Source organism: Homo sapiens, chromosome 6 (genome assembly GCF_000001405.40).
Source record: "Homo sapiens chromosome 6, GRCh38.p14 Primary Assembly".
In the NCBI taxonomy this organism is placed as follows: domain Eukaryota; kingdom Metazoa; phylum Chordata; class Mammalia; order Primates; family Hominidae; genus Homo; species Homo sapiens.
The window spans coordinates 28,761,278-28,774,952 of record NC_000006.12 but is presented as its reverse complement, the minus strand read 5'-3'; the positions used below and the strand labels follow the sequence as shown (position 1 = coordinate 28,774,952).

The following is a 13,675-nucleotide window of genomic DNA, read 5'->3' as shown; positions in this document are numbered from 1 at the left end:
GACGTCTGGGCAGGAACTTCTTCAAGGTCTTTAGTGTTGATTTTTTATCACAGGAGGTTAAATTTCTCATCAATCGCTTAGGCTGGCCATCCCAGTCCTGCCTTTTCTGTCAGAAACAAATCAGGTGTTGTTACGGGAACGGGAACGAGTGTGAGGAACATTCGCCTGTTTGGGATTTCTGGCACCATGAAGATTGCTGGCATTTAGATTGTCATACCCCATGTCCAAGTGACTGGGCCACCTCCAGACTAAACCGGTGGTAGGTTCAAAATAGCCACCCTGCAGACCTCCTTGCTCACCTCTTTTGTCATCCCGTAACTTTTTCTGTGCCCTTAAATACGGCACTGTGCAGAGAAACCTACGCCCGTACCACTTTACTTCGTTTAAACCCTTATTCTATTCCTCTGTGGCTACTCTCCTACCCTAGGAAAGATCCGAGTGGCCCTTTTTCCTCCTCATCCCTACCACTTACCCCGTACATCTCGTTTTCCCGTGTCACAGCAAGTTCAGCGTCTCCAGGACTTGGCTCTGCTCTCACTCCTCAAACTCTTAAAAGAAAAGGCCGAATTTGAGCTATTTGCCTTTGAGTCGTGGAGACACCAAAAGTATTTAGGCTACAGGTCCAGGGAAAGAGGGAGGACGCCTAGGTCCATCCAGCCAAGGAGACCTAAGGTTGGCCTCTAGTCCTCCTCCCTCAATCTTGGATAATTATTCTTTTTTTTTTTGAGACAGTCTTCTCTGTCGCCCAGGCTGGAGTGCAGTGGCGCGATCTCAGCTCACTGCAAGCTCCGCCTCCCAGGTTCAGGCCACTCTTCTGCCTCAGCCTCCCAAGTAGCTGGGACTACAGACACCCGTCACCACACCCAGCTAATTTTTTGTATTTTTAGTAGAGACGGGGTTTCACCGTGTTAGCCAGGATGGTCTCGATCTCCTGACCTCGTGATTCGCCCGCCTCAGCCTCCCAAAGTGCTGGGATTACAGGCGTGAGCCACTGCGCCCGACCTCCCTCAATCTTAAAGCTAGTTAACCGTCCTGTGGCAAGTAGTGTGAGCTATTGTTGTCTTTCGGCTCCTTCTGGTTATGTTAATTCTGTTCTTCCGATACTCCAGCCCCCTAGGGAATGAGTTTTTCTGTCCGTGCTGGGTTTGATATCCCTGCTCAAACCTTGTCAAACTGCCTCCAAAAATGGGAAACTCCTCTTCCCGGCCCTGTAAGGATTGGAGCCCCCTCCAATGTATGCTGCAGAATTTTTCTCTAGGCTTCTCAGAGGATTATGGGGTCCGCCTTTAAAAAGGCAAACTCCGGACACTCTGCGAAGTAGAATGGCCAAAGTTTGGAGTCGGATGGCCCCCAGTAGGGTCACTGAACCTAGCAATTGTTCAGGCTGTGTGGCGGGTTGTTGCTGGAACTCCCGGCCACCCCGATCAGTTTCCCCACATTGATCAATGGCTGAGTTTGGTCAGAAGCTCCCCACCATGGCTCCGCTCATGCGCCATTCATAATTCTGCCTCCAAGGTCGTTTTGAGCCAGACCGCACTTCCGCCTGGACCCTCAGTCTGTTCGGCTCACCCTGTACTGCCTCCCTCTGAAGAAGAGGAGAGTCTCCCCCACTCAGTTCCGCCGCCTTATAACCGTCCTGCTCCCTTAGAATCTTCCCTTGTCTCCTCGACTACATCCCCTGTAGGCTCGCCGCCTATTGCCTCTCGATTGCGGCCGCGGCAGGAGGAAGTAGCCCCCCCTCTACCGCGGAAAGAAGCACAAGTCCCTCCGGGTGATGAGCGCTCAGCCCCATTCTTGGTTTATGTCCCTTTTTCTCCTTCTGACCTCTGTAACTGGAAGGCTCATAATCCTCCCTTCTCTGAAAAGCCCCAGGTCTTGATCTCACTGATGGAGTCTGTGCTCCGGACCCATCGGCCCACCTGGGATGACTGTCAGCAGCTCCTTTTGACCCTTTTTACCTCTGAAGAGAGGGAACATATCCGAAGAGAGGCCAGAAAGTATTTCCTCACATCAGCCAATAGGCCAGAGGAGGAAGCTAGAGACTTTCTTGAGGAGGTCTTTCCCTCTACCCGGCCTAACTGGCACACGAATTCCTCGGGTAGGAAGAAAGCTTTGGACGATTTTCACCGGTATCTCCTTGCAGGTATCAAAGGAGCTGCTCAGAAACCCATAAACTTGTCTAAGATGACTGAAGTCGCACAGGGCCTGATGAGTCACCGGGAGCGTTTTTAGAACGCCTCCAGGAGGCCTATCGGACTTACACCTCTTTTGACCCGGCGGCTCCCGAAAATAGCCGTGCTCTTAATTTGGCATTTGTGGCTCAGGCAGCCCCTGATATTAAAAGAAAACTCCAAAAACTGGAGGGATTTCCTGGGATGAATATCACTCAGCTTTTAGAGATAGCCCAAAAAGTTTTTGACAATCGAGAGTTTGAAAAAAGAAAACAAACAGCACAGGCAGCAGCTGATAAAGCATACAAAAGACAAGCAAAAATCTTAGCTGCGGCCATCGGAGAGGTCAAGAAGGGAAGGCCCCCATCACAGAGGAATAGCCAGGGAACCTCAGGTCCCTACCAGAAGGGCAAAAGAGGAGAACAGGCTCCCCTAGAAAAGGACAAATGTGCTTATTGCAAGCAGACTGGGCACTGGAAAAAGGAATGCCCACTACGGCCAGAGGAAAAATCAGAAAAGAAAAAGGCCCTCACCCTCCCCGCAACGGAAGAGTCTGATGACTGATGGAGCCAGGACTCCCTCTCTCTTGGCCCCCAGGAGCCCACGGTGACCGCTACAGTGAGGGGCCAGCCTGTACGCTTCCTAGTAGCTACCGGGGCGGAGCACTCGGTACTACAGACCCCCTTGGGCAGTGTCTCTAATAAAAGAGTGGCTGTACAAAGGTCTACTGGAGCTATTCAGGAATATCCTGTCACACACTCACGAGAAGTGAGCTTGGGACAGAAAAGAGTGAGACAGTCATTTCTTGTGGTTCCAGAGTGTCCTTTTCCTCTCCTCGGAGGAGATCTGCTCCATAAGTTACAGGCCTCTATCTCCTTCTCAGCCCAGCAGGCTAACGTCATGCTAGGAAATACAGCGCCCCCCACTGCCCAACTCCTGCTAACTACCCCTCTGTCAGAGGAAAATCTTTTAGTGTCACCATCACAACCACTGGAAAATAATACTAATCCTCTCCTGTTGGACTTACAGACACTCTTTCCCAGAGTTTGGGCCAGTCAAACCCCCCAGGACTGGCTAAACACCATCCACCAGTGGTTGTAGAACTCCTGGCCACTGCCTTGCCTGTCCAGGTAAAGCAATATCCTATGAGTCAGCAGGCTAGACAGGAGATTAATCCCCATATTCAATGACTGTTACAAGCTGGCATACTCACACCGTGTCAGTCCGCCTGGAATATTCCATTTTTGCCGGTCCAGAAACCCGGAACGAATGATTACCAGCCGGTACAGGACTTAAGGGAAGTTAACAAACAGACTGTTACTGTCCATCCAACTGTCCCCAATCCTTATACTCTACTCAACCTGCTCCCGCCAGAACTTACAGTATATACACTGTCCTTGACCTAAAGGATGCCTTCCTTGCTATTTCTCTGGCCCCCAAGAGCCAACTGATCTTTGCTTTTGAATGGACAGATCCTAGCTCAGGAGACACTACCCAATTGACTTGGACTCAGTTACCTCAAGGTTTTAAAAATTCCCCCACCCTTTTTGGAGAGGCCCTCCAGCAGGATCCTATACCATTCCAAGCTAGTCACCTTAACTGTACTCTTCTTCAGTAGGTGGACAACCTTTTATTAGCTACTGAAACTAAAGACAGTTGCCTGCAACATACTAGGGACCTACTTTACCTCCTTCAGGAGCTCGGGTATCGAGTCTCAGCCAAGAAGGTCCAGCTTTGTCTTCCCACAGTGTCCTACCTAGGATACGACATAAGCCAAGGAAAAAGGGCACTCACCAGTGCCCGGAAAGAAGCCATCCTACGAATCCCCACTCCCACCACCAAGAGACAGGTACGTGAATTCCTGGGGGCCGTAGGATACTGTCGCCTATGGATGTCGGGGTTCGCGGAGATTGCGAAGCCCCTGTACACTGCTACAGGAGGGAATAGCCGGCTAGTTTAGATGGACACAGAAGAACAGGCTTTTCAAAATCTGAAAAAGGCATTAACTGAAGCCCCTGCTCCAGCCCTCCCAAATATCCCAGAGCCGTTTCACCTGTTTGTCCACGAAAGCCAGGGAGTTGCTAAGGGGGTGCTTACTCAGACTTTAGGACCCTGGAGATGCCCAGTGGCCTATTTGTCTAAGAGGCTGGATCCTGTGGCCTCTGGATGGCCAACTTGTCTGCGAGTCATAGTGGCAACAGCAAGCCTAGTCTAAGAGGCTGATAAGTTAACTCTAGGTCAAAATTTAACCTTTACCGCTCCTCATGCCGTAGAGACTTTATTACGAAGTGCTTCTGGCAAATGGATGTCAAATGCTCGCATCCTGCAGTATCAGAGTTTACTGTTAGATCAGCCTCGTTTGACTTTCTCTCCCAGAAGGTGTTTAAATCCAGCTACTTTACTCCCTGATCCAGACTTCACTACACCTGTCCATGACTGCCAGGAACTGTTAGAAACTACAGAAACTGGCCCACCTGATCTCCAAGATGTGCCCCTAAAGAAGGTGGACGCCGCCATGTTTACAGGCGGTAGCAGCTTTCTCAAAACAGGGAGTACGAAAGGCTGGTGCAGCCATTACTACAAAGACAGATGTGCTATGGGCCCAGGCTTTACCGGCAAATACCTCGGCACAAAAAGCTGAATTGATCGCCCTCACTCAGGCTCTCCGATGGGGTAAGGATAAACTTATTAACATTTACACTGACAGCAGGTATGCTTTAACTACTGTACATGTACATGGAGCCATCTATCAGGAGCGTGGGCACCTCAGCAGGAAAGACTATCAAAAACAAAGAAGAAATTCTAGCCCTGCTTGAAGCCGTATGGCTCCCTCAGCAGGTGGCTGTAATCCACTGCAAAGGACATCCAGGAGAAAACACGGCCATTGCCCGTGGTAACCAGAAAGCTGACTCAGCGGCCCGGGATGCAGCCAGACTTCCAGTCATGCCTCTAAACTTATTACCCACAGTCTCCTTTCCACAGCCAGATCTGCCCTACAATCCCGCGTACTCAACGGAAGAAAAAAAACTAGCTTCAGATCTCAGGGCCAATAAAAATCAGGAAGGTTGGTGGATTCTTCCTGACTCCAGAATCTTCATACCCCGAGCTCTCTCGGGGAAACTTTAATCAGTCGCCTGCATTCTACCACCCATTTAGGAGGAGCAAAACTGGCCCGGCTCCTCTAGAGCCATTTTAAGATTCCCTATCTTCAAAGCTTAGCAGATCAAGCAGCTCTCCGGTGTACAACTTGTGCCCAGGTAAACGCCAAGCAAGGTGCTAAACCCAGCCCAGGCCACCGTCTTTGAGGAAACTTGCCAGGAGAAAGGTGGGAAGTTGACTTTACAGAAATAAAACCACACCGGGCTAGGTACAAATACCTTCTAGTACTAGTAGACACCTTCTCCGTATGGACTGAGGCATTTGCCACCAAGAATGAGACTGCCACCATGGTAGTTAGGTTTTTACTCAATGAAATCATCCCTCGACATGGGCTGCCTGCTGCCATAGGGTCTGATAACGGACTGGCCTTCACCTCGTCCATAGCTCAGTCAGTCAGTAAGGCATTACACATTCAATGGAAGCTCCATTGTGCCTATCGACCCCAGAGCTCTGGGCAGGTAGAACGCATGAACCGCACCCTAAAAAGCACTCTTACAAAGTTAATCTTAGAGACCGGTGAGAACTGAGTAAGGCTCCTTCCTTTAGCCTTTCTTAGAGTAAGGTGCACTCCTTACTGGGCTAGGTTTTCACATTTTGAAATCATGTATAGGAAGGCTCCACCTATCTTGCCTAAGCTAAGGGATACCAATTTGGCAGAAATATCACAAGCTAATTTATTACAGTAGCTAAAGTCTCTCCAACAGGTACAAGATATCATCCAGCCACTTTTCCGAGGAGCCCATCCCAATCCGGTTCCTGACCAGATGGGGCCCTGCCACTCATTCCAGCCAGGTGACCTGGTGTTTGTTAAAAAGTTCCAGAGAGAAGGACTCACTCCTGCTTACATAGGACCTCATACTGTCATCCTCACCATGCCAACAGCTCTGAAGGTGGATGGCATTCCTGCTTGGATTCGTCACTCCCGCATCAAAAAGGCCAACAAAGCCCAGCAAGAAACATAGGTCCCCAAGCCTGGGTCAGGCCCCTTAAAACTGTGCCTAAGTCGGGTGAAGCCATTAGATTAATTCTTTTTATTTACTTCTCTTTTTGGTTTTTGCCTGTCATGTCCTCTGCACCTTCCTATTCCCTTCTTCTCACCTATTTCATGACAAGACGTATATTCGCAAACAGTACTTGGAGGGCAGGAACCTCCAAGGAAGTCTCCTTTGCAGTTGATTTATGTGCACTGTTCCCAGAACCAGCCCGTACCTACAAAGAGTAACACAATCTGACAGTCAAGGGGGCAGGAAGCGTTGACCTTTTGGCAGGATTTGGACACTCCGGGAGCCAGACTGGATGTGGGAGCTCCAAAGGTGCGGAAAAAGGACTTCAGAATGTTGACTTTTACCTCTGTCCTGGAAATCACCCTGACTCTAGCTGTTGAGATATTTACCAGTTTTTCTGCCCTGATTGGACACGTGTAACTTTAGACACTTAACTCTGGGAGATCAACCGGATCTTCAACTCTTTCCATAAGTCGTGCTTCCCATCCTAGATTGTGTACTAGAAAAAATTGTAATCCTCTTACTATAACTGTCCATGACCCTAATTCAGCTCGATGGTATTATGGCATGTCATAAGGATTAAGGCTTTATATCCCAGGATTTGATGTTAAGACTATGTTCGCCATCCAGAAGAAAATCCTGGTCTCATGGAGCCCACCCAAGCCAATCAGGCCTTTAACTGATCTAGGCGACCCTATGTTCCAAAAACACCCTGACAAGGTCGATTTAACTGTTCCGCCACCATTCCTAGTTCCTAAACCCCAGCTGCAGCAACAATATCTTCAACACAGCCTGATGTCCATACTAGGCAGGGTACATCACCTTCTTAACCTCACCCAGCCTAAACTAGCCCAAGATTGTTGGCTATGTCTAAAAGCAAAACCCCCTTATTATGTAGGCTTAGGAGTAGAGGCCACACTTAAAAGTGGCCCTTTATCTTGTCGTGCACGACCCTGTGCCCTCACACTAAGGGATGTGTCTGGAAACGCTTCTTGTCTAATTAGTACCGGGTATAACTTATCTGCTTCTCCCTTTCAGACTACTTGTAATCAGTCCCTGCTTACTTCCATAAGCACCTCAGTCTCTTACCAAGTGCCTAACAATACCTGGTTGGCCTGCACTTCAAGTCTCACTCACTGCATTAATGGAACTGAACCAGGACCTCTCCTGTGCATGTAAGTTCATGTACTTCCCTGGGTATACGTGTACAGTGGACCAGAAGGACAACTTCTCATTTCTCCCCCTGAGTTAGATCCCAGGTTTCGCTAGCTGCCCTGCTCCTAGTTCCCTTCTTGGCCAGCCTTAGCATAGCCAGATCAGCAGCCCTAGTTCAAGGAGAAACTGGAATAATGGCCCTATCTCAACAGGTAGATGCTAATTTAAGTAACCTCCAGTCTGTCGTAGATTTGTTACATTCCCAGGTAGAGTCTCTAGCTGAAGTAGTTCTTCAAAACCGCTGAGGCTTAGATCTACTATTCCTCTCTCAAGGAGGTTTATGCGCAGCTCTAGGAGAAAGTTGTTGCTTCTATGCCAATCAGTCTGGAGTCATAAAAGATACTCTCCAAAAGGTTCGAGAAAATCTAGATAGATGCCAACAAGAAAGAGAAAATAACATCCCCTGGTATCAAAGCATGTTTAACTGGAATCCATGGCTAACTACTCTAGTCACTAGGTTAGTTGGACCCCTCCTCATCCTACTATTAAGCTTAATTTTCAGGCCGTGTATATTAAATTAGTTTCTTAACTTTGTAAAACAACGCATAGCTTCTGTCAAATTTATGTATCTTAGAACTCAATATGACCCCCTTATTATAACTGAGGAATCAACGATTTGATTCCCCAAAAACACAAGTGGGGAATGTAATACCTAACGTTGTTTTTAGACTCTCCGTTAATCACCTAGCCTTATTTCCACATGAATAGGCTGTCCCTTAGCTGAGAAAGCTGGACGAACTCCATTTGGCTCCTTCATTTACAAAACATCAAGGACTCCTTACCCACCCCCTTCCTCAAGCAGTTAACTTGTGTAAGCTGACTCTCAACATATCAGAGTCCAATTAACTGATAAGGTACTGAAGCAAACAATGCACGAAGTTCCCAGGATTTCACTCAAGAGATAACACCATAAAGCCTTGAGTTTGTGTCTGGCAGAACCCCCATACCTAATGCCTTATGATAGATTTAGAGCCCCTGCACCTGGAACTGTTTGTTTACCTGTAACCATTTGTCTTTTTAATTTTTTTGCATGCTTTTACTTCTGTAGAATTGCTGCAACTAAGCTCCCCCTCCCCTTTCTAAACCAAAGTATAAAGGAAAATCAAGCCCCTTCCTCGGGGCCGAGAGAATATCGAGCGTTAGTCCTCTTTTGGTCGCCGGCTAATAAAGGACTCTTAAATTCGTCTCAAAGTGTGGCATTTCTCTAACTCGCTCGGGTACAACAACTTCGCCTTTCCGCAGCCGCTGTCCAGCTCTGCAGAGTCCTTTTGAGAGAAGAGCTGGACAAGAGGAGTAAAGGAGCTCTTTGCAAATGCCAGGAGGAGTTTCTTCAGGGGGAAAGTTGGCTTTCCATAGGCTTCTAAGAGAAGTATGTGGAGCAAACAAACGGGAATTTTCTTTCTCATCTTTTGCATTTCAGACAAAAGCTAATAAAATTAGCTGTTTCCACCGTCATGCTTAGTCTCAAAGCTGCCGGTAGATTCCGCTTCTAACTTTCCACACAGGCGCGCAGGAAATCGGGAAATCACTGCAGCTCCCTCAGAAGCTCCAATATCAGCATTTCCTGAACTGAAAATAAAAATGCGACATTACGTGCATACCCAAAGAGCTCAACTGGTCTGTCCAGCAACGTAAAGAGAGGTGAGGCGCTCTTGAAGCCGTGCCAGCCTGGGCGAAACGAACCAGGTCCCCTTCCTGGTCGAGCCTACCCCCCTAGGGACAAAAAGGAACCTCTCTTCCCTCCTATCCAGAGGAAGGGACGGAGAGATGTGGCGATCAGACTCACTCTACCATCCAGTCTATCCAAGTACTAATAATCTTGAGGATGCTTTTCCTTGCCCTCTACCTCTCTCCCTTTTGTCCTTTGCTTCCTCCACTTCACGGCACCCCGCCTCTTCCGTCTCCCCGCAAGCTGGCGCTCGGCTCCTCCCGTTTACTTTTTGTTTGTTTGTTTTTGTTTTTTGTTTGCTTTTGTTTTTGTTTTTTGTTTTTGTTTTTTTGAGACGGAGTCTCGCTCTGTCGCCCAGGCTGCAGTGCAGTGGCGCGATCTCGGTTCACTGCAACCTCCACCTCCTGGGATCAAGCGATTCTCCTGCCTCAGTCTCCCGATTAGCTGAGATTACAGGAGCCCCCCACCACGCCCGGCTAATTTTTGTATTTTTAGTAGGGACGGGGTTTCACCATTTTCACCAGGATAGTCTCCAACTTCTGATCTCAAGTGATCCGTCCGCCTCGGCCTCCCGAAGTTCTGAGATTATAGGCATGAGCCACTGCGCCCAGCTTTCAGAATGAACTTTTCACAATAGTGCAGCGCACTCCTAGACCCGTTTACGCACATTTTAAACACTGTGTTGTGATTCATATGTAGATCTTTCCACATCACTTTCTATTTTTTTTTTCTTCTTTTCCTTCTCTGTATGCTCAGCTTTAAACATTTTTGCACCATAGGCTGAGGCTGCACTCAGCTGGGGAGAGACGCGTGGCGGGGATAAAACTAGAGTAGAGGAATGTTGTTTCCTGTCTGAGAAGGCTCAGACCTTACAAGGGGAGAAAAAAGTCTGTAAGAGAATCTAAAACTTTTTTTGAGGAAATAATTGAAAAATATATCCTAATTGACCCTCCCACCGTATTTTGGCTAAAAATAGAAAGCCTCGACTCTCAGGAGATTGAGTTTGAAAACTGTTAAGACATAGAAAAGGTTTTATTAAAATTCAGTTTGCAAATCATCGTCGGCCTCAGCAATTTTCTCATTCCAGAGAGGGTTGTTTCCGAAATTCTGTAAACATCTGAATTTGTTCCTATGTCTAACCAGAGAAGTTCAATGTTTTTACACTTTTGACTTAACGTAAGAATTTATATTGAGATATATACACTTCTGGGATTGGCGTGCAAGTGTTGTATAAGGGAGTGATAATTAGGCAGAACTAAAAAAACCAAACAAACCTGGTGAAACCCGGGATCGAACCAGGGACCTTTAGATCTTCAGTCTAACGCTCTCCCAACTGAGCAATTTTGGCTACTCTAAGCACGTGCCGTTAGCAATTTCTTCAAAATATAAAAATCTTCATTTGTAAAGTGGGCGTATTTCCTAATGCCTAATTCTTTTTTGTTCAATATCAACACAAAAATTAGCCAGGGGTGGTGGCGCGCGCCTGTAATCCCAGCTACTCCGCGCCGCTGTACTCCAGCCTGGGCGACAGAGCGAGACTCCCTCTCCCTCCGTTGAAGTGGGAGGATCCACTGAGCCGGGGAGGCAGAAGTTGCCGCGAGCCGAGATTGCACCACTGCACTCCAGCCCACGCAACAGAGCGGGACCCTGTCTCGAAAACAACAACAAAAAAGAGTTGTTATGCACCAGTGTGGAGACCACAATTTTAAAAACTCTAAGGAAGAGATAGAATGTACTGGAGGACATAAGAGATCCTTCTTTTCTTTCTTTTCCTGTCACTTATTTTATTTATTTAATTTATTTTTTTTAGACAATCTCCCTCTATCGCCCAGTCTGGAGTGCAGTGGCGTGATCTCGGCTTACTGCAACCGCCACCTCCCGGGTTCAAGCAATTCTCCTGCCTCAGCCTCCCTAGTAGCTGGGATTACAGGCGCGCACCACCACCCCTGGCTAATTTTTGTATTGATATTGAACAAAACAGAATTAGGCATTAGAAAATACACTCACTCTACAAATGACGTTTTTATATTTTGAAGAAATGACTAAGGGTGTGTGCTTAGAGTAGCTGAAATAGCTCAGTTGGGAGAGCGTTAGACTGAAGATCTTAAAGTTCCCTGGTTCAACCCTGGGTTTCAGCCAGCATCTTTTGAGTTCTGCCTAATTATCACTCCCTTATACAGCACTTATACGCCAATCCCAGAAGCTTACATATCTCCAATTTTTGGGAGTTTTTGAAAGTCTGATAAAGGTAATGTACATGTTTGTATCACTCTCTCCTTTGTATATTCCACTGAAGTCTTCCATGAAGTGCTCTCATTACATAAATTATTTAAAGTTTTTGGACGGAGTCTCACTCCGTCGCCCAGGCTGGAGTGCAACGGCGCGATCTCGGCTCACTGCAACCTCCGCCTCCTGAGTTCAAGCTGTTCTCATATCTCAGCCTCCCAAGTAAGCTGAGATTACAGGCCCCCGCAACCATGCCCGGCTAATTTTTGTATTTTTAGTAGAGACAGGGTTTCGCCATGTTGATCAGGTTGGTCTCGACCTCCTGACCTCAGGTGATCCACCTGCCTCGGCCTCTCAAAGTGCTGGGATTTCAGGCGTGAGCCACTAAGCCCGTCCTTATTTAAAGTCTTAAACTTAGGAAGTTATTAGTTTTAAAACCTAAGAAATTCCAACGTGCTATATGCTGTGGCATTTACAAGTCATTTTTGATTTGATATTATTTATATGTATTGGGCGAGGGTTATTTTTAAATCACAAGAAATATGAAAAAAAGAAACATACAGTGAAGTAACTATTATACTGTATGAGCATATATATGGGGGTGTGGTGTATGCAAGAAACATTTTGAAATTAGAAAAACCCGGGTTTGTATCTTGAGTCAACTCCATTATTAAAGTGCTGTAAGAACTTTTTTTTTCTTTCTTTCTCTTTCTTTCTTTCTTTCTCTTTCTTTCTTTCTTTCTTTCTTTCTTTCTTTCTTTCTTTCTTCTTTCTTTCTTTCTTTCTTTCTTTCTTCTTTCTTTTCTTTCTTTTAAGCAGGGTCTCACTCTGTCATCCAGGCTGGAGTACAGTTATACAATCAGAGCTCACTACAGCCTCAACCTCTCTAGGCTGAAGTGACTCCACATGTCAGCACCCTGAGTAGATGGGACTACAGGCGAGCACCACCATGCCTGGCTAAATTTTTTTTTTTTTTTTTTTTTGTATTTTTTTTGTAGACTGTGGGTTTCACCGTGTTGCCCAGGCTGGTCTTTAAATCCTAGGTTTAAGCAATCCACCTGCCTAGGTAGGCCTCCCAGAGTGCTTGGATTACAGGCAGGAGCCATCGCACCAGGCCCAATTACAAGAACATTCTAAATTTTCTTGCTGAGAAGACATTTCTTTAGCCTGGCAACCTTGTCTAGAATTTCCAAATCTTAAGCTGTTTCCATGTTTGTATCCAGGAAAAAAGAAATATATGTATTTCTATATGAATTATTTTATCAAACATTCATGAGGGGCTCTAGAATACTGAAAATGAAAGCAAATGGGCAGCAAAGTCAAGACTCAGGTGCATGTGCCCCATTTTCCCTTTTTCACTTCAACTCCTCTCTTGAAATTCTCTGTTGGGATAATAGGTCTTTTTTTGGTCATTTTGATTTTTTTTCTTTCAAATTACTGCTTCAGTTTCAGTGTTGTTTTTCTCTAACTTCTGCATACCCTGTGAGGAGACAATAATCTACAATACTCCACTATCAGAACTGCAGCAAGTTGCAAAAGGAAAATTAGTACCAAATGAGAAGTAACCTTGGGTTAGGGACATTGACTGTACAGAAACTGGGAATCAGGTACTTTATCCTTTCACTGAGGCTTTCTCAACTCAGAAGCTTGTGTTTTACTCCATTAAGAAATATTTGACTAGACAAACAGTAACATTGAATGTTTTGTGCCTAACGCAGTAAAGATTCCTTTACATTCTGTTGAAATGGAAGGCCTAGGGCAATTCCAAGCATGATTTGTCTGCCATTCAATGGCTTAAAAATGATGTTAATAATGATTTTGTAAAATGGGATGTTGTAAAGATCAAAGGAGATCATGCATAGAAATGCATTCTGTCAAGTCCACTCACAGCATGAAACTTAATTACTGGCAGATCATGCTCCGTGTTCTCTGCTTCTGGGATTCTCCCAGAACAGCACCTAAATGGATAACATTGTCTTTAGACAATTCTGTCCAATCAAGAGATAATACAAGTTTTAAATGACAGCCATTTTGTAGTGTTACCTTTTGCAGTAGTTGCATTAAAAAAAGTCAATATTTATATTTTTATGTAATTTCAATTTTTATTTTAGATTTGGGGGTACACGTGCAGGTTTGTTACATGGGTATACTACATGATGCTGGGTAAATTGCATGAGGTTTTGAGTGCAATTGATCCCATCACCCAGGTAGTAGGCATAGTACCCAAGAGG

The 13,675-nt window shown here is 46.1% G+C and overlaps 2 non-coding genes across 2 annotated transcripts, besides 1 other annotated feature; one reads left to right on the top strand and one right to left on the bottom strand.

Moving 5' to 3' along the window:
• Positions 9,005-9,557: an enhancer, noted in NCBI's record as "H3K4me1 hESC enhancer chr6:28733173-28733725 (GRCh37/hg19 assembly coordinates)". NCBI's record gives its function as "activates a minimal SCP1, AML or CMV promoter by ChIP-STARR-seq in naive H9 embryonic stem cells {active_cell/tissue: H9 hESC(naive)}" and the evidence as "EXISTENCE:reporter gene assay evidence [ECO:0000049][PMID:30033119]".
• Positions 10,490-10,566, bottom strand: TRF-GAA5-1 (tRNA-Phe (anticodon GAA) 5-1). The gene has a single exon. It is a non-coding gene; the product is annotated as a tRNA-Phe (tRNA).
• Positions 10,567-11,282: 716 nt separating this feature from the next.
• On the top strand, positions 11,283-11,356 carry TRF-GAA6-1 (tRNA-Phe (anticodon GAA) 6-1). Its single transcript has one exon. It is a non-coding gene; the product is annotated as a tRNA-Phe (tRNA).
• The last annotated feature ends 2,319 nt before the right edge of the window (positions 11,357-13,675 follow it).